General features: G+C 35.0%; 1 protein-coding gene across 10 annotated transcripts in view; it reads left to right on the top strand.

The window, feature by feature from the left end:
• ARL15 (ARF like GTPase 15) overlaps nt 1-19,677 on the top strand; it is a 426,632-nt gene that overhangs the window by 189,771 nt on the left and 217,184 nt on the right. For 9 of the 10 annotated variants that reach the window (NM_019087.3, XM_011543500.3, XM_017009598.2 and 6 more), the window contains one exon: nt 7,393-7,601. In NM_019087.3, coding sequence (NP_061960.1) covers nt 7,393-7,601 — 209 coding nt within the window. Of the gene's footprint in view, nt 1-7,392; nt 9,369-19,677 lie in introns of those variants that run through there. The other variant, XM_047417339.1, reaches the window with a different exon arrangement.

The raw sequence follows: 19,677 nt of genomic DNA, 5'->3' as shown, positions 1-19,677 counted from the left end.
CAATTTATTGCTTTGGTCAACGTCAATTGCAGCAAAGCTGTTCCCACTAGCTTTTCTAGTCTTGCCACCAGATTTTCTAGAATACCACAAAAGTGTTTTGTTTTTTGTGTCATGCCAATGGCTCAAGAATTAGCTGCTTAAAAAACATTTGGAACTATGCAAGTTGTGATCCCCTTGGCATCTGTGGTTCTTCTAAGGAGTCAGCTGTTGGCTTTTGCAGGAGTACGGAAGGGAACATTTCTCCAGAACTGTTCCCACAGCTTTTTCTTTCTATGCTTTCAGTTTCTCTTGGGTACTGATTCTGTTGGACATCAGAACAGTATAAAGGTTCATAAATAGGATAGAATCAAAAAGTATCCCAAGGAACATAGGTTAATGTACTTTGTGGTTTTAGTACAGTGCTTAGCACGTGCTGTATTATGGCTGCATGTTTTCAAATACTACGACAGGACTCTGAGAAAGGCCTATGAGTAGAGTGAAGTTTCATTGTAAATATGTTTAAGGAATTCTTAATATCAGATGCTGAATGAGAGATTCCTTGCAGAACTGGGTATGTACCAGAAACATAAAAATTAGTTGCTAATAACTTTACTCAAGCCACCACCATCAACCAAAAAGATAGATTATTTGTATAGCAAAGAATGATTTGCTTGGTAAATTCTACATTCTACTTTTGAGAAATCAGAATAAGTATTCTATAAAAGATTAATTCTTTAAAAACTATTGAGTTTCCATTATGGGTTAGATGTGGTCAGAGTATGGTGATGAATCAGACACGAAAATGCACAAAACTCCCATATGGTTCTTCCAGTGTAATCAGGAAGATGAACTATGCATTTAGATTACTATGCTACAGGGTAGAAAGTGTTACATGGAGAACCAAGAGAAACAGACCAGAAGATTTTTAGAAATTATTCCCAGCTGCAAGATCAGGTAAAGCTTGGTGGAGTAGGCAACATTTGATCTGGCCCCTGAAGCGCATGTAGTGGTTTGAATTTACAAGAACTAAGGGGACAACTCACACGGTAGTAACTCCAGGCAAAGGAGATAACAAAACCAAATGCATAAGGGTGGAAACCTTAGGTCTGGTCCAGGAGAGCAAAACGTTTTGCTCATTTGTGGAGTATCTAAGGAGATCAACAGAGGAACATGGTAGGAATGGCAAAGTGGAGCCAGATTATGGAGAACTATAAATGCTAAATCAAGTCATTTGAGAACTTCAAGTTATAGGCACTTAATGTTTTTGAGCAGAGTAGTGATATAATTTGAGCTAGTTTTCTGGACAAGTATTAGTATATTTGTGATAGTTTGTGCTAGTTTTCTAGGTAAGTATCTTGGTTCATTTGAGACTGGGTAATTTATAAGCAATAGGAGTTTTTTTTGGCTCGGTACGGCTAGGAAATCCAAGTTCAAGGGGTCTCATCTGGCAAGGGTCTTCTTGCTGCATCAAAACGTGCAGAAGGTATCACATGGTGAGAGAACATGCAAGAGAGAGGAGAAAATGGAGAAAACTCCTCAAATGAACCCATTTCCAAAAGAACAGCATTAATCCATTTTTGAAAGTGAAGTCCTTGTGACTTAATCACCTCTTAAAGGTTCTACCTCTTAATTTTTGAAGGGGCATTGAACCCATAGTGACAAGTATGAGTAATTTAACTGGAGCTGTGCAAAGAGCCGTTGGAAGGTCATCCTACTGATCCAGCTGGAAGGTGATGAAGGCATGAACCATAGTGAGAACATAAAGGAGGGGCCAATGTCAGAATGCAGACATGGTCCTCAATGCAATTGTTAGGAATTGACATCTAAGATAATGATGTAAAATTGTGTTTGGAGTCACATAGACATCCAGAATAAGTGTTGAGGGAGGATAAGGTGAGGAGAGGGCAACTGGCATATCAGTTTGTATGGTACGTAGAACTTTGTTTTATAAAATGTAGGCTGAGGACCACCTACCTTGGAATCTCCTGGGAGGCATGCCATTTAAAGTTCCTGGGCAACACACAATTCAGTAATCTTTCTAGGCCTTCAAGTATCTGATCACTGGGTTAGAATTCCGATATAATGGTACCAAGGAGATTAGGATGCTTCCTGGGTAGACCTCTTAGTTTTGAGATTGCCCTCCCAACTCCAGCTCTTCTATCTTGGGACTTGAGTCAGCCAAGGTTAGAATAAAGATAGTTTAAAGTAAGACTTTTATTCCCGCTAGAAACTAGCTCTAAATTTATGCCTAAATTTCAGTAGATCTTAAATGTCTTTTTCTCACATTAAAGACAATGAGTATCCATATGTGCCATGTCAGAAATTAAAGCCATGTTAAAAATTTTTATAAAAGAATAATAAGCTCATAACATGTTAATATAAATAACATTTTTAATGAAAATCAACAATTTTGAAAACAAAAAAATAGTGAGAAAATTGGCAAATCTTTTTAATCTGGTTTAATAGAAGAGGGCCGGATGCTCATATCTGCTTCTACAGTTAATCTGTTGTTAATATGTTGTTTGGGTTGAAGTATATGAAGAAAGTCTAGTCTCACATAGATAACTCAAAAAGGGAGGCATGATTTAATAACCTTTTTAAGTAACTGTTGATTGTCTTCTTTGATACTATACTGAAATTCTTCAACAGGTGGTTGTTTCTTAATCAGTTGTAGTGTGGAATCTGGAAAACTTATCAGGGAACTTTTTGTACTCAGTTAATTAACTTGCATTGGTCTTTCTTGTACTTTGAATGTATTTTTTTATCTATGCATGGTTTTGTAACATCATGCATTCGTCATTTGGAAAATATTGGTTCACTGAGTAGTGTAGAGCTTCCAAATGTTTACAGATTACTTTATGAATATCTGTCTATTAATATCACCACCAATCTCATCACTGAAAAGCTGTCAGGCTCACTTAAAACTTAGCAGAAATAAGTTTTCTAAAATTCTAGCTTTTGCTTGAAAACAAATTTTACCATTGACAACAAATACTATCATTTGTTTTCCTTGAAATGACAAGCTTGCACATCTATTTTTGAGAAAATGTCTATCAAACAGTCAAATCTGAATAATCATAGTTTGTCAGTTGAAATTTCAAGTAAAAATGGAGTTGTGTGAAGTAGCTTACAACTCAAACAGTTGTACAAGTGCTTATTGTCAAATCAACTGTCTACTTTGGTATGTAGCAAAAATGTATTTTGCTTACTTCCCATTTAGTCACATAGAATATTTTAAAAGTGTGTTTAAGAGCTAAGTTAATAAAATAATAACTTTTACTGCCGTATTAAGGGAATTCTTGGGTGAAACTGTAGCAGGAGATTAAAGAAAAGGATCTTTTCACTATTAATATATTATTCATACATTATGTCATATAAGGGACATTTTTTAAAGTTATGGTATTTCTCTTTGGGTTTGTGTGTGTGTGTGTGTGTGTGTGTGTGTGTGTGTGTATGTGTCTCACTATTTGCAGGTACCATATGTACTCCTAAATGTGGCCAATGAAAACATAGTTTCTCATTGAAAGAGTTGACTGCACAAGTTGAATTTCCAGGTGTCCTGTGTGTTTCCAAGGGACAAGCTCTAGTAAAACATGCAACCAAATTCTCTTTATACCTGACTCACTGGACACCATCTAATGTGTGGATGTATTTGCTCTGCCTGCTATATTTGCAGGCCTCATTGTAATTTGTATTACTTTACAGGATTTGATGGTTTCAGTTAAGAGGAATAATGGCTTTCTAAATATCTCTTTAGGTCCTAGCTCAGAGACTTGTATGGATGGAATAGGTACTTAATAACTATCCATTGAATTAACCAGTTGGGAAATGTTTTTGGACATATTTCCATTAATGTATGTGGGCATTAACTTACCTTTTGTTCCAATAGGGTTCCATTTCTTTTCTCCTAGCTTATGTGGTAATATAGTTCTTTATTTAGCCTCATTGCCTTTTTAGTCCATGATCTCTATTTCAATCACATTAGACCTAAATATATTTATTAGGTGTGTAACCTTGGGCAAGTTACATAATCGTTTTGTGTTTTGGTTTCCTTGTTGATAAAATGAGATTGATAACAGTATTTACCTCATGATAGTCATTAGACTGTCATGGGTAAGTGATTTAATATACGTAAAACACTTTGAGCAGCCACCATTCATGTCAGAACTACACTAGTTTGTCAATTGCAGCCATTAGTTGGCTGTGGATAGAAACTCAATGAAAGCATTCTGTGGGCATTAGTTGGCTATGTGGAATTTACAATAAAGCATGCTGCATTGAGTCTTACAATGAAAACTGTGCACTGCACATCCTTCATGTTAGTGAAATTTATAACAAGCTAGTGTACAGATACACATGCACACTATTTTTGTTGTTTTAAACACTTACCACCGAGTAACACTGCCTCCAGTTTTGTCCCTCCAGCTTATGGATGGTTCTCAAGCATATGGATAGTGTCTGGATGTAGCCTGTAGCAGATGCTGTTGGTATCCTACCCAGATCTCCTTTCCTGGGCCAGTGCATCCATCTCCCAGCTGCTGTGGGTATTGGCTGCTAATGACTCACACCTGTACTCTTCTCCAGAGGCCTGCCCTTGGCTGACAGTAATTGCCCCAACCAAATATGTTTGGGAGATTATGAGATCATGCCCCAACCCCCTCCTGCTCCCCAGGGATGGCTAATGACTATACAAGGGTGTAATAGCTCAGCTCCCTTGCCTTTGGACTAGACAACTTCTGTGGTTCAATCCATGCTTTAGAGTTCCTTATCGCATCAAGCTGAGGCTAGATTTCTGAAACAATATCTTTGCCTAGCTTCTTCCCCCATTCTAGCTTACTTCTTTCACTTCTAGTTTCTCCTGACAGCACTCCCTCTAAATCGGGTGTACAAGAAATGATGTCTCAGGCTCTGTGTCTAGGGAACCGGACCTAAGATGTTGCTTATCTCAGTACCCCTGCTGTTTCCTTAGTTCCACCACCACCTAAGTAATGAATTCCCTATATTAAATAATCTCTGGCTTAAATTTCCTCTTTATTTTTGTTTTGTTTTCTTAGTTGGACCCTGCTTGATATGCATCAACCCTGCTCATATCCCATGTCTTCACATACTTAACATTACTCAACATCAAATGTCCTTGATCCTCTTATTAAATATATACCTAGTTATTTTTGTATAGTATAATGGTGAAATCACAGATTTTAGGACCTGAAAATTAGTTTCAAAGGCTTAGTCAATTATACTTCCCTCCTTAGATTGTTGTAAGAATTGTATGAGCTTTTCTTTTTAAAACACTTAGTACCTGGAGGATAGGAAGTGTTTAATAAATGGGAGCTGTTTGGCTACTGATATTATTCTTTCAAGAAATTTACCCCCACCGCCCCAAGCACCATGGTATGTGCCTTTAGTCCCAGCTACCCAAGAGGCTGATGCAGGAGAATCACTTGAGTCTTGAGTCCAGCCTAGGCAACATAGCGAGAACCCATCTCAAATTTAAAAAATGAAATTAAAAAAGAATTGCCCCACTTTGGATGAAATGCCTATCTCTTGATCCCAGAGGACCTAATGAGTATCTCTATGACAGCACTTTCTTGTACTCTATTATAATCTTTGAGTTTTCTTTTCTATTTCTCCCAGAAAATATAAGCTGCTCAGTGTCATCAGTGGTGTGTTGGCTCTCTGGGAGATGAAAGGACTCGATATGTAGGATTTGCTGATTTCCATAGTGACAGTGCTTTCACCCTGATTGATTTCAAGCTACCAACAGGATGTCACTGAGCACAGAGTTGGGAAGAGAAGCAAACAGGTGACCCTTGCCAGCCAGGGCACACCAACTGCAGTCCCCACTGTTTCCCTAACACATAACAATATGTCAAACATAGGAGCTAGATGTTCAGTGGATGACTGAAATACAGTTATTAACTGGTTAGGACTTGATCATATGCAATAAATTGGTGAAATTCCTTGAAATCTAATTGTCGTTATATAACCAGTAGCACCCCTTTCCTACACATGCACACATATTGCCCCTCCTATTCTTGAATGAAAGTGATGAAAACAGTCACCATGATGTAATGGGAAGTGCCTATGCCTTCCCTGGGCAGGTTGTCTGCTAACTCATGCAAATCCCAATTTTGTGATTTATTAGATACATGACAAGGGATCACTTACTTTACCTCTGTCTGCCTCAGTTTCCTCAGAGAGTTGGACTAAATCATCTCTAGAGTTTGTTCTAGTCTCAAATTTGTAAAGCTTAATTAGTATATAATTTTACTCCCTCATTCCCTCAATTTTCATTATTCCAGTACTGAACTTTGAGTTAGATGTTGTGCTATATAATGGAAATACAAAGAGGAATACTACATGACATGCCTTGGCTGATGAGACTCTCCATGTGGTGTTGCTTTTTTTTTTTTTTTTCTTGAGATGGAGCCTTGCTGTGTTGCCCAGGCTGGAGTGCAGTGGCGCGATCTTGGCTCACTGCAACCTCCACCTCCCGGGTTCAAGCGATCCTCCTGCCTCAGCCTTAGCTTCCCAAGTAGCTGGGATTACAGGCACCCGCCGCCACGCCCGGCTAATTTTTGTATTTTTAGTAGAGATGGGGTTTCACCATGTTGGCCAGGCTGGTCTTGAACTCCTGACCTCAGGTGATTCACCTGCCTTGGCCTCCAAAAGTACTGAGATTACAGGTGTGAACCACCGCGCCCAGCCTCTCCATATGTTTGTTTGTTTGTTTATTTGTTTGTTTTAATAAACATCTTATCTCATTGAGATCATAAGTGTACACCTGTTGTCTGTTATTTTTCCTCATGGGTTATGAAGCCAAACAGAATCATGTAATTGTATCAAAGGCCATGATTTTAGTTTTTCACAAACTTTAGCACTTTGACACATAAAGCTATTGTGCTAATAACTCCCTAGGTGAAATTAAACAAGGCTGTCCTGATCAGCAAGCAGTTCTGTTAAAAAAGTATCACCAAGCTAATGTTAATGGTTTGGAAAGAAGCGTTGGTGGATGTCTAGGCCATGCAGCTCTCTGAGGCAGGTTCAGTCTCAATTTTTAGAGAGTGTGTAGTTCATTTGAGATGATTAAAGTCTGAAAATATCCTTTTGAGTTTAAGTCTAGGAAGTATTTATCCTGGTTCTCTCACACACATTTTTATATAAAAGTCATTAAGAATGGCTTGGATTTTGTGTCTTCCTTCAAGGCCAAATCTACCTATTGGCTCTACTGCCTTCTTTGTTCCCATCCACTGTGATTTCTGCCTTTTCTAAATTCCTGTTTTAATCCATACCACAGAGTTTAGCACTTAATTTTTAAAAGGTACATTGGTTTCCAGTAGGAATTACTGTTGGGAACATTTTTCAGTTGCTGAAAGCTCTTTTTAAAACGAAAATTTGTTTTGTTTTTGACAGGGGCTGATAACATCCGGAAATACTGGAGCCGCTACTACCAAGGATCTCAAGGGGTAATATTTGTATTAGACAGTGCCTCTTCAGAGGATGATTTAGAAGCTGCTAGAAATGAGCTGCACTCAGCTCTTCAGCATCCACAGTTATGCACTTTACCCTTTTTAATATTGGCCAATCATCAAGACAAGCCAGCAGCTCGCTCAGTACAAGAGGTATGTCTCATTAGCATGACAACTCTTTGTCTTCCTTGCTTGTACTTTTGCTGCCACGTTGGAACCTGGAAAAATGCATGTAATTAGGAATGTGCTGGTTATGCTGCTTTCAACATGAAACCTTAGTTTTCATAGGAAGCAGAAAGCCTATATCAATCTGTTAGCACTTGTTTACATACCTAACCCTACTTGGAGAGCACAGAGTTTTCTAGCTATTTAGCAATGGTTAAAAGATGTTTCTGGTTATATTTTTCATCTATTTTGAGGGGCTAAAGGCCTGGTTATTTAATGTTGTTTTAACCTGTGGACTTAGTTCATTCTCTTCTTCAGCTTTTCTAGGAACATATCGTGAGTATTTCCATGCATTACTCGCCTTCAGGTGTCATGTTCTTGTTCCTCTGAAGTGTTCAATGTTGACTAGGATTAATGGATCCTATTCTGTAATCTGCTAGGCTGAAAATTGATGTCTTGCAAATTCCATGCCATCAAATACATTTTAACATGGAACCAATGTTTATCTTCCTCATTTAATTTTATTTCTTAGCTTGTATCTCTCCTATAAAAGCATGAGACTAATTCTAGGCAAATAGAGTCTCAGCCAATAGAGCTTGTGATTCATGGTACTGCAGTAATGAGATATGTGAATAGTTTTTAAAACTTAAATTATAGTGAATTATAACGTAAGTACAGTGAAATCAAAACTCCTGATGTATTCCTTTATACTTGTAACTTTCAGGATATGATTTCCCCTCTCCTTCAGAAAATTGCATGCTTCCTCAAGTGATTTTGGAATGAGATGATTAATATGAACAATCTTGCCTTTCAGCCTGAAAAATAAATGAGGAGCCAAGGACATAACATGTTCTAACTCCAGACCTCCCTCACACTTAGTGTGTGACCCACGGCAGATAGCCTATTCTTGTGCCTGGCTTCTCACCTCTAAAATGAGAATAATCCAATTTATTATGATAAGTTAATAGGATTAATTTGGATAATTTACTTTGAAGTTTAAACACCTAAGTAGAAGAACCATATAAATAGAGTTTTTATTCAAATTTTAGAAACACAGTTTAAAAAAAAGAAAGGCAAGGACCCATTATTCAACAGACAGAGCTCATGTCTCACTTTAGTTGCCTCATTCAGCATTAAGTACGTAGCACCTTTTAAAGAATAGAGTTTGAAAAATACCTTATAGATAATATTAAGTAATTAAGTAAAAAACAGCAATAAAAATCTATTCAGAAAGTCATTAATGTGAAGATCTTCAGCATTATAATGATGGTGTCTCCTAATGTGCTTTTAAGACCTTAGTTTGTAAATCTTTTAACTTCTCAGCATCAGTTTTTCTGCCTATAGAGTAGATATAATAGTATGTAATGAAGGGTAGTTTATGATTATAAGGTCGTTTGCTGAGAATGCATTGTTATTCAGCTATTCATTCTAAAAAATCTTGTAATATGTATGTGTACACTACTACATGTAGACAGTATAATGTGTGTATGTAATATATACATAATACATATACACATTGATAAAACATAGATATAAGTGCCATTTTAACTTCAGATAACTTTATTCAAGTTATTTGCAATATCTGAAAAAAGATTTTTTCTTTCTGCTTTTAAAGTTATGAACCTGTGTATCTGTTTTCCTTAGACATCATATAATTGAAAGTAATGTATCTTTAAACCTAACATATGACTTATGGTTACCCTCCATAGGAATGAAAGATGATCACATTGAATAAAGGAAGCTTTTAGCAATTAATTGCTTCTGAGTATTCCTTGTGTGTGTTGACTGGCTGTCTTTCCTAGGTAAAGAGCAAATATCTTTTTCCTTCTTTTTGTGATTCATCTTTCAGTAAGACTGATAGTTATAAATGTAGCGTTGTCATAGATATGGTCTGAAAATGATTCTAAACTTGTGTATACTGGAGCATATGTGGCTTTGAGTTTCCTTTTTATTTGTATCCATTTTAAATTTACTTTTCTCAAAACTTTTGCTTGTAATGGAATTTGCATAATACCAATATGGGGACTGCTTTAAGTAAAGCATTTTTCCCCATAATTAAATAAACATATACCATACAGGTGCATGTCTACACTTTAGACTGCTTTAATGGGATACATGGGCTAATTCCATTATAAGTCTTGAAGTTTATGGAAGCACAGTGACATGGTTATACTTACTTTGGGTCTGGCCTAAAAAGAAAAGGATATATCCTAGATTTTTCCCATTTCTTGATGACAGAGAAGTTTCTCTGTGTACTGTATTAAAATGCCTTGTTGAAATGCTCTCAGGAATGTTTTAAGAATTAAATCAGTACCTTATTGTTGGCATAAAAATGGAGTTGTGGAATTGAATCTTAAACATTTTGTAAACAATAACTTTAAAATCGTTGGGAGCAGGCATTGGTATTATAGAAGAGGCAGTAGAAGATTGAAAAGTGAGCAAAGTCATGTGTTACTAGAAATGTATTTAGATAACGGTCGTCTTTTTATTCTCTCTTTCCTAAAGGTGTTGCACATCCTGTGCCCTATTGCTGATAAGCATTCTTACTCATTTGCACCTGCTAATTTGTGTATGTTTTATGGAATTTACCAATGCTAAAAAGATGGTATTTTAATCTGCAAAATACTTGTGAATTTTAGGCAAAATTCTGATCTGTCAGAATCAAGGAAGGTGCATTCAACTTACCAAAAAGCACTAAACTTTGATTCAGTTAGAAAAGATAATCAGTCATAAAGGCTATTGATTCTTCTTCTCACTCCATTGAAATTATTACATTTTATGTTTAATGCAGAAAATGTGCAATAATTTATCCTGTCACTGGAGTGAAACTGTACAAACACACTATTGGTTGATGAGTGTGTCTGGATACTGTTGACTTTAGAAGTGGGGAGAAGCCAGTGAAATTCAAAAGAGAAAGTCAAATTATCAGTGGGACTCCAAAGAGAATAAAAATCATAAGGAAGTTGTATATGTAGTCCCCTCCCCTACTATGAGTGTTGCTATGTTTGTGTGGAGCACTGAATTAAGAAATGAAGACAATGGTTAAAATTACTATGTAACCCACAGAGAGAGGGCAACATGCCCAATTATTTTCTTGCCCTTTCAAAAGCAAGTGTAGTCTTGTACATTACATATTTTTTCTTTCTGTAATATACCTGGTAATGACCTGGGTTTAACTTACCAGAATTTTAAGATTTTATGTCTTGAGAGCTGATAGTGAAAACATGTATTTTTAAACAAGCTTAAAAAAACAACAACAACAGCAAAACTCTAGGAAAAAGAACACCCTTTACATACTGTCTGAAAGCCAAGCAATTCTTGCAACAGATGTTTGTTGTATTCACTTTGGGGAGGTGAATTCCAGAATTTACTCATATCAACTATTTTTCTCTATAGAAAGCATTCGAGAAAAATTTATTATTATGTCAAGTGGCCCACTTGGTACATTAGGGAAAATTCTGATCTAATTTAAATGATAAAGCTATAAAATGAGAGAAATCTTAAGGGTAAATAGGTTGGTTTCTCATTTGTATTGAATTGTAATTGTAACTAATTTGTTTTACAACTCCCATAGGAGAGCATACTTCAGTTCTGAAGTTATTTAATAGATCAGGAGGGTTTTATGAGAAGTTAAGTTGATATAGTAGCCAATAAATGTAATCCTATTTTCCTTCTACACAGTTGCTGATTGTGATTCTTTTACCTCCTGGTTTTTAAAATCTTATTTTCATTTTACTGGACATTGTGTCTTATAAAAGAACACGTTTTGTTAACATGAAACAGTCTATATTTTCTAGCAATGTCATCTGATTTGATGTTTGTCTATATCCTTAATCCAAAAGTATTTAACTTTTTCAGAAATAGTATATCAAAAGTACAGTGTTAAGTATTTGTTGAATATTTTCTATTAAAGCAAATACTAATTGAGAAATATGAAGACTGTGAAACAGAGTTTTGAGGCAGAATTATAAGGTTGAATGGCTCTATTTGTTCCACGGCTCATTAACACAGGAAAATACAGCTTCTAAATTAGGGTGTCAACATTAAAGTTAAAATTTGTGATCAGGCCATTTCTCAATTTTTATGCAATTTTAATTCAGTTTGTTATTATGACATGCATAGAACTTTGTGTTATGTTTGAAAAACAAGATATAAATGCGAGAAAAGTATTTGCAAGTATTTTTGTAATGATATAAACATTACTGGTTTTTTAGACCATGTTTTATTTTGGTTATAAATATTCAGATTTTTTTGAACAATGCATTCATTACTCTGTGCATGAAGAGTTTATTTAATTTTCGCTTTTTAGTATTAGACATCTTCTGGAAGAGGGTGCTAGTGTGTTTCTATGGTATTTAACTATCACATTTAATTATAACTACTTATTTATAGGTGATTATTTCTACCTTGTGTACTTTTTTTCCTTTCTACAAAGGATCAGACAGAGTTTTGAAAGACTGAAATTCTTGGGCAATCTGTGTCTCTAGATAATAAACTATAGTTTAAATTATTTTATATTTATATTGCTTGATAACAGATCATTTCTTTTTTGGTAGCTTTATGAAGTACTGAGTATCTTCTCTGACTTCATGTGACAAATCTTTTATTAAAAAATGCAAAGCAGTGTTTAAATCGTGTAAAATGCTTAGCTTAATTTAATACTGCTTTCTGTATGTGTAGAGAAATGTGTTTGTAAAATAATCATTGGAAAGTGTCATATACTCTAAATCTTAAGAGTTTTCCAAGTATCTTGACCTGCCTCTTGGCAGCATTTTAGAATACTGATTTGATTTCACATGGAGCAGTGTACATACCTATGGTGTGAGCAGCTTGAAAATTCCCCTATGGGACGTATACTTATTCTAAAATGGTATGAGAGATACAAACTGTTTTTCGTTCATTCCTTACAGATGCACTGCACGCTGTTACAATTAAATATTGAGGAAACAATGAGAGGGTTTGGAAGTCAATTTTCCACTGAATGACTCAGCTATCTCTTGAAAATATTTATCAAGAGAAATAAATATTTCTGAATTAGCAATCATTTCATTAGGTATAAGAATGTCATTATTTTAAGTGTATTTTGAAGAGCAACTTTTAAGCTGTAAGTACTAAAACAGCCAGAATATTTTATTTATTATACATTAATTCATTTATTTCTATATGCATTCTTTGATAAAATTAATTTTGTATACCTGATTTTCTTGATTCTATGTCTATCCACCTTGATCTCACTGTTTTTTCCTCTGTATACCTGTGTTTCTTGCATCTACCAAGCAATATGATTAAAGTGTGCCTTGTCCACCAAAAGCAAAATTTCCATGAGCAAATACGTTATATAAGAAATGTCCATTTTATCAAGCAAATTATTTAGGTGAGGGTAATAAAGTTATACATCTCAATATATGTCAATGTATATACAAAAAGTAATTTATTATGTTCTCTTTTAAAACCCCCATTCCTTTCCACTATCTTCCTTCAGTCACATACATATCTTCATTTTATGTAAAGTGAACATTTTGAAGCCTTTTTCAATTCGTACTCTTTTTTATTCTCCACATCTAGACTTTTCACAGTCTCATTCTCCCACTTCTGCCTCTGAAGTGCTTCTCAGAGTTTCCTAATAGTTTACACCCCTAGATCTCCTCTTTTCTCACTATTTTTCAACACAGAGCAGAACAAGCAAACTTCCTATCGAAGTTTCATGATACCCATATTTTAAAACCTTCTAATATTAATAATCTTTTAATCCCTTCTGGAATCGAATGTAATTCCACAGATCTTCTATGTTAATGTGCATCGGATTCCTTTTTCTTCACTCACTTATGCTTATGTACCACTCACTATTCCTAATTCACTAGGAAAACCCCTGATGTAGTTTGGCTGTGCCCCTACCTAAATCTCAACTTGAATTGTATCTCCCAGAATTCTCACGTGTTGTGGGAGGGAGCCAGGAGGAGGCAATTGAATCGTGGGGGCCAGTCTTTCCTGTGCTATTCTCGTGGTAGTAAGTCTCACAAGATCTGATGGATTTATCACGGGGTTCCGCTTTAGCCCCTTCTTCATTTTTCTCTTGCCACCACCATGGAAGAAGTACCTTTCACCTCCCACCGTGATTCTGAGGCCTCCCCAGCCATGTGGAACTGTAAGTTCAGTTAAACCTCTCTTTCTTCCCAGTCTTGAGTATGTCTTTATCATCAGTGTAAAAATGGACTAATACAACCCCCTCAAGATGATGTATTACATCAGGAAGTAGTCTTGAATGCCCATGCCAAAGTTGGGCTCTCTCATCTGATTTCCCTTGGCAACCTGCGCTTATCCAAATCATAATATTAGAATTTCGCCTATAACTTCTCTGTCTACTCCTTAAGGTTGTAAGTTTGTTGAAGGACAGGAATTACGGCTTGTTTATGTCTCTGTGGTCAATAAACAGTCAACCCTCCATATCTGTGAGTTCTGCATTCATGTATTCAACCAACAACCAATTGAAAATATTCAGGGAAAAACACCATTCTCTGAATTCAACACGTATAGTCTATTTGTCAATATTCCCTAAATAATACAGTATAACAACTATATACGTAGCATTTACATTATTAGGTATTATAAGTAATCTAGAGATGATTTAAAGTATATGGGAGGATGTGCATAGGTTATATGATAATACTCCTCCATTTGATATCAGGGATTTATGCGTCTCAGATTTTGGTATCCATGGGAGATTCTGGAACCCATCCTCAAAAGATACCAAGGGATAACTGTATTTTGTTTGAAAGAGTGACTACCTCCGAATCTTACCATACATCCTTTCTTACTGCCTTCATACCATCAACTTTATCCAGATTTCCTTACTCTCTCTTTACTCAAGCCAATGCATCTATTTTTATCCTTGAATATAAAAATTTTTATTTTCCTGAAACACCAAACCTGACCTGTTAATATTGCTTACAAACCACATCTTCCTCGAATCCTCACCACTCTAACCATGTTAATACATAGTTTTAAAAAGATTCAACTTGTTAATTATCGTATTTACAAATGTTTGATTTTATGTTTCTACATTTGTGTTTGTCTATTTGTGGACTTTTTTTAACACCATATCAGGGTACTATTCTCTTTCCAAAATCCCTCATAGAAATTGGCTGGACATCTTGGCCAAATGATATTCTTTTAATACATTTTAAAATAATTGCTTATATTTATCTTATAGAACTTATGTTGTTTGCTAGCATCAAAATCTATTTTTTTCCTGTTTAGATTTATCACATAGAGACTGGTACATAATGAAGCTCTAAGGGAACATAATGACATGGTTTTAAAGTGATGAATTCAATTTATTAAAAACAAATGAGGCCGAGGCAGGCAAATCACTTGAGGTCAGGAGTTCGAGACCAGCGTGACCAACATAGTGAAACTCCGTCTCTACTAAAAGCAGAAAAATTAGCTGGGCATGGTGGCGCGCCCCTGTAGTCCCAGCTACTTGGGAGGCTGAGGCAGGAGAATTGCTTGAACTCGGGAGGTGGAGACTGCAGTGAGCCAAGATCACACAACTGCATTGTAGCCTGGGTGACAGAGTGCGGCTCTGTCTCAAAAAACAAACAAATAAAAAAATGTAGCCTTTTAATTAATAAAATCATTTATTACGTAAGTGAAACTTAGAAGGATTTTAAAAAATTCTTATATTTAATACTTTGTATGCATATTTAAATATTTTATAATGAATCATAACTAGTAAAGTTAGAGACTGATTTTATCCAAACAATATTATTTGGCTACTTTCTAATCTTTTTGAGGTAGTATGTATTTGTGTTGTTGTAGTGGTGATCTTCACACTTTAGATCTGTATGTTAATATTATATTTTATAAAAATTAGCATTTCATTAATCCTCATTCAACAAAGGCAATGGCTGATTTGAGGCAAAAGTTTAAGGTACCCTTTCCTTGTCCCTTAGTTCCTTTCATTTATTTTTTTATTTGCAAAAGAGAACTCAGTCACTACACATTCCATAGCTTACAAAGTTAATAAAACATTTGTCGAGGTAAATTAATTTGAAAATAGAGACATAGTTAATGTCAGTAAGGTACTTTGAAGATAAAAAGCACAATAAGCGTTAGTTATTATAATTATGATAATTATTATCATTATTATTATTACATAGTGTCTGCTTTAAAATACCCTTGGTTGCTCTGAGATGGCTGAGACTAATGAGAAGGGTTAATCTGTTGGATTTTATCCAGAACTAAGGATTTGAGACATAATGCACAAATGGTTTACTTTTTTTCTTAATGGAGCAAGAGATATATTTGTTTATTCCTTCCCCTGAAAAAACAGAAACAAAACTTCCTCTTGATTCTGTAATGCAGAAGCATTGTCACTCATTTTGAATAGTCTTAATATTTTCTTATATAATCTCTACAAATATGTCTGAGGAGCAAATACAGGTCTTCTTAAAAGGTTCTGAAAACATAGCCATTGATTTCTACTTCAGTATCTCTGAGTTGTGTGGAGCTTGAAATTATAATTTTTATATGTTAAAAAAGAATAGGGCATAATATGGGAAGAAAATATGAAATCTTAGTTCCTATTATAAAAATGAGAAATCATATCTTTGGGAAGTTATAAAAATAACTATAACTAATTATATAAATTAACCCCAATAAGAATATCTTAAGGAGGAGTCTTTAGATTATTCTTTAGAGAGAAGACTTCAGCATTAAGCAAACTTCTTTGCAAGGTACTGCAAATATTGGCATCACAAGTCACAGAGATGAAGGAAATATTGAAACATTTTAACAGGCGCATGTATGAAAGTCAAATGTACCCCCAGCCTCATAATCAGTAAGGCATTAGTGACATGTCTGAAGAAGACATTCCCTAATATTATTGCAAATTAAGTAATAAAAGACCTCAAGAGAATGAAAAGAGAAAAGGTGCCTGAAGCCAATGAATTACAATTGACAACCTAAAGGCAGTTGAAGAACCAATTGCTAGAGTGATTGCAAAGCTATTCATAATGTGCAGCAGACAGAGCACACCAGAAAGCTGGAACAATGCCTTCAGTTCAGCAATATTGCTTCAAAAGAATGGAAAGAGGGGAACGGGAAGAGCCACTGACCCTGAGACCAATTTCCAGGCAGCTGCACAAACTATATACTGTAATTAAAGGTTTTGACCAGTAATCACAGCAAAGCCAGACTACAGAAGTCTGGGGGAACCAGCAATGTTCATAATGAGGCAGACATCCTTAACTTAAAGCATGGAAAAAACAGGTAAGAAAGCTGGTCCATTTCTGGCAGTGACTTTGAAAAGTTCTGCTGCGTTAGCACAAATACGAAAATCACATATTTTTGGCCTTGTTCCTCTGAGAACAAAAACATGTAATAAGAGATACCTGCTTTCATCTTTTGCAATGAATAGAATACTCTCCTACTTAGAAACAGGCTTTTTCTCCTTGCCACTTTATTTTTTCCTTACCTATGAATTGCATGTGCCTTTGATGAAAACAATGAACTGGACATGTACAACGGTACATGTAATAGACTGAATGCAACTTAGAAGTGGCCACTCTTCCAGTGTACATAGGCTTGGAAATGAACTAATCCAAACCTGAGTAATTTGTTTATAGTACCTCCTTTCACTTTTGTTTATTGGTATCTACAGTCTCTCATTCTTTTTCTTTAATAATATCTCTTTATATAGAATTTTATATTCAGCCATGACTCTATTATTTCAATAGTCACATTACCACTTCGAGGATTGATACCATGAAAAAAGGTTATCTAGTAGTTTTGAGTGAAGATATGAGGCACACCTTCAATACCAATAAGAAGGTATACTACAAAGGTCTAATGAAGAAAAATATCTCATTTTGAAGGTAGCACATAGCTTTCAACTGACTGGGCCTGTTATGGTCTTTGCTGTGTTTGTTATCACAGTATCTAATAGTGAAGTGGTAATTACTTTCTTTAGTAGAAATTCCAAGATCTAAATTGGTACACATATAAATATTTGACAACAAAAAAAAAATTTACAAGTTTTTTACTAGGTTACAAAGGAGAAGAGTCAAGTAGGGTTTAATTTTGTTTTATTTAGGCTTATATCTTAATATGTTCAAGTATCTGGATTCAGTTGCCCTAAACACAGTATACATAGATTGAGTTTTAGTTCATGCTACACCTGACATAAGATTATGGGCTATAATGTTTACATGGTAACTAGCTCCATAAAATAACTGGGATTGTTTTCATAAATGAGAAGTTAAACCAATGGAGCCTTATGGGAAGAAGGTTCTACATATGAACTGTTAAGTAATTTAGAAGTCACATAGAACAATATAATTTTAGCATGTAGAATTTGTAATATTTATTTTTTAATACTGGTTATGACTAATTATTTGTCAAGCCAAAGCAGTTCTTTATTGAAAGGGGCCAGAGTGGAAAATCTGGGTAACTTGTGTACAGTTTAGACAAGGAGAACAAAGAAATAATGCAATGAAAATAAGAGCTTGTCAGGGGAATCCTTAGAGAACAGCTGGTTGAAGAATTACAGTTGTTAACTGTGCTATGAAAGAAAGATGCTCTCTCATCAGGCGTTAGCATATTTCATTGAAGAGAAGACTGAATAATCATTAGAGGGATCCTGAAAAATAGGCCAAAAAAGATCTTGAGATGGAGGTACAATGTATATGCACAAAACACTATTGTTACTACTGTTATTATTATTATTATGGGAAAGCAAATCACTGTGTCCAGATAAATGTCCCGATTTTCCAAAACATGGCACAAATTGTTTAGAAAGAACACTTTCTTTCTTGTTATACATAAAGATTTACATTTTACTCAGTTTTCATATAGTTTCATTTAAAGTGGTATTTATTAGGCCAGACATGGTGACTCACACCTGTAATGCCAGCAGTTTAGGAGGCCAAGGCGGGTGGATCACATGAAGCCAGGAGTTTGAGACAAGCCTGGCCGACATGGTGAAACCCATTCTCTACTAAAATACAAAAATTAGCCGGGCGTGGTGGTGCACGCCTGTAATTCCAGCTACTTGGAAGGCTGAGGCATGAGAATTACTTGAACCCAGGAGGCAGAGGTTGCAGTGAGCCAAGATCTCATCACTGCACTCCAGTCTAAGTGACAGAGTGAGACTCTGTCTCAAAAAAAAAAACAAAACAAAAAATAAAATAGTATTGGTCAAATTTATTGGAGAGTTAAGTGTAAATATTTGAATTATTTAAATGTTTAATATGTAAATTATTTAAATAGACAGCCATGAATATGGAAATACATGTTTCTGCATATTTTGGATACCAATTTTGCATATTAACTTTGATGTTTTTCTTTAAGTATAAGTTGGGACATTTTTCTGTTTTCTTAACACTGGCTTTTTAATGACTTATGTTAATAAGCAAATTAAGTCCATTTTTTAAGTGAAAAAATGAGAATAGATTTTAAGGCAAAGCATGAGGTCATCAGGTACTTGAGTAATGAATGGCCTGTTACTGTTAATGGAAATGTTTTTGAGCACTATAGCTATCTTTTTTTCTTTACCAGAGAAGCTCCTTGTTTTCTTTTCATATTGTTAAATCTTTTAAACTAATACAGTTTTAAGCTAATACAGCACAGTTTTCTGCTCTAGGGAAATACAGGCTTCTTTAATTATTCTGAATGTTGTAGTAGCCCTTCAATTATTTAGAACATTAGTTCTAGCAGTGTAGATGCAGAAAATAATTTTGTTGAAGCAATGACTGACTTTTAGGTCCTAGACATTGCTTTTTTATAAAACACTCAATATGAATCTGTAATTTTGTAATTTCATCTGTTAAAAATGGAATACAAAAATTATAATTCTTTCATTATTTGTTTTTATTTATACTCTAGTTAGTCAAAATTTTGTCATATGTTTCTTTAGCCTGGTAAAGCCGAACTGAAAAATATATGTTATTTAAAGTTGTATCATATTTTTAAGATGTTAAAGGAAGAGTTGTGGCTGTAATTTGTGGGTTTACTTTCACCACAATTATTTTTAGAATAACAACTCTTCTCTCACTCATTTTGTTTA

Source organism: Homo sapiens, chromosome 5, assembly GCF_000001405.40.
Source record: "Homo sapiens chromosome 5, GRCh38.p14 Primary Assembly".
Lineage (NCBI taxonomy): Eukaryota > Metazoa > Chordata > Mammalia > Primates > Hominidae > Homo > Homo sapiens.
This window is presented reverse-complemented; position numbering and strand designations above follow the sequence as displayed.